Source organism: Homo sapiens, chromosome 12 (assembly GCF_000001405.40).
Source record: "Homo sapiens chromosome 12, GRCh38.p14 Primary Assembly".
Taxonomy (NCBI): domain Eukaryota; kingdom Metazoa; phylum Chordata; class Mammalia; order Primates; family Hominidae; genus Homo; species Homo sapiens.
In genome coordinates this window covers 48,541,160-48,542,806 of record NC_000012.12, presented here as the reverse complement: position 1 = coordinate 48,542,806, position 1,647 = coordinate 48,541,160, and the positions used below count along the sequence as shown (strand labels likewise).

Here is a 1,647-nt window from a genome sequence, read left to right as displayed (position 1 = left end):
AACTTTACAACCAAAAAGTAATTTTTGCCATAAAAAGGTGGCATATATATATATATATAATGGCTGAGGAATAACCAAAACTTGCCATGTAAGGCCAGTAAGAAAATTCCAACAATTAACAAGAATGCAATTTTCAATGGCCCATTAATTACAGAAAAATTAAACAACTACATCAAAATTAAAATTGCCTACATATTAGAAATACATTTCAACTTAACTAAATATCTTCTTAGTAGTAATTAGTCTCATAGTTACAACCCGGTGTCAGGTTATGGTTGCCCAGCTTCCTTTGGTTGGAGCGCCGTCTCCTGGCCAGAGAATGTGAAGCTCAGCCAAAGGAGATCTTTGGGCTTCCTTTTACCTTTGCTAATGCAGCAACCGTGGAACTGAATTTTAGTGGACCTGCCACTGGATTGAAATTTCCTGCCAATCCATTTTACTAGCTCCTGAGGTTTCAGTTTTATAATTTTCAGATCTCACTGGGAAGGTTTATTATCAGCAAGTGATTTCAAAGCATGTGCTACTTCAAACTAAGGGCAAGTAGGCAACCAACCACATGGCGTCAATGATTCATTTTCATCCTCTTTATCGGAACCACCCCTTTTCTATCTAAATAATGCCTTAGTTATAGTTTTAGCTAAAAATGAGTTGGGGAGACAAATTTCTAATCCCACATATGATGCTGGCTGGCTGAACTAATGGCAGCAGTTAGGCAGAGAGTAATGGCTAAGTCCAAAACACCTAATTTTTCTTCAATTGCAAAGTCCAAAAACACTTCTGGTCCCTCACAGGACCCCAAATAATGATGCTTACCAACCTATGGTTACTTTGGGAAAAGGATACAACACAGAAGTAACTTGAAGTAAGGAGAAATGTCACAGCCAAAGGATGTCTCACACAAGGTGTCCAGTGAGACCTGGCATGGGTTCCAGCTGTCCTCTCTCTATAAGGTAATGCCAGGACCTGCTTCACCCTCAGATCAGGAATCAGCGATGGGTAATGAGCTCAGCTAACTGTAAGAGCAAGGCCTTCTCCATCTTCTCCCCACAATATCTGGTGAATTCTATTATACAAGACAGGCTTAGTCAGCTGCCTTAGCACCTCGATGGTTTCTGTGTGTGACCAGGACTGCATTGTAACACATGCAGTCCTGCATTATCTTTGCAGGACTGCATTGTAACACTTTTAAAATTCATAATCTATAGCTTGATTATTGTGGAAGTCAAGCAACAAAATGATAAAATTCGAACTCTGTCTGAAAATCTGTAAAGACACTAGGTAGTTCATCATTTTTGTCTCCTGTCCAAAGACACAGATGTCTCAGGGAGTAAAGGTAATGTCAACACAAACTTGCATTTTCTTCTTTTTTTTTTGTTTTTGAGATGGAGTTTTGCTCTTGTCGCCCAGGCTGGAGTGCAATGGTGTGATCTCAGCTTACTGCAACCTTCACTTCCCAGGTTCAAGTGATTCTTATGGCTCAACCTCCAAGTGGCTGGGATTACAGGTGCCTGCCATCATGCCTGGCTAGTTTTTTGTACTTTTAGTAAAGACAGTGTTTCACCATTTTGTCCAGCCTGGTCTCAAACTCCTGACCTAAGGTGATCCACCCTCCTCAGCCTCCCAAAGTGCTGGGATTACAGGTGTGAG

The 1,647-nt window shown here is 40.9% G+C and overlaps 1 annotated feature.

Annotated features, from left to right (window-relative positions):
* Window positions 273-382: a silencer, noted in NCBI's record as "silent region_4408". NCBI's record gives its function as "represses an Ori minimal core promoter by ATAC-STARR-seq in GM12878 lymphoblastoid cells {active_cell/tissue: GM12878}" and the evidence as "EXISTENCE:reporter gene assay evidence [ECO:0000049][PMID:35858748]".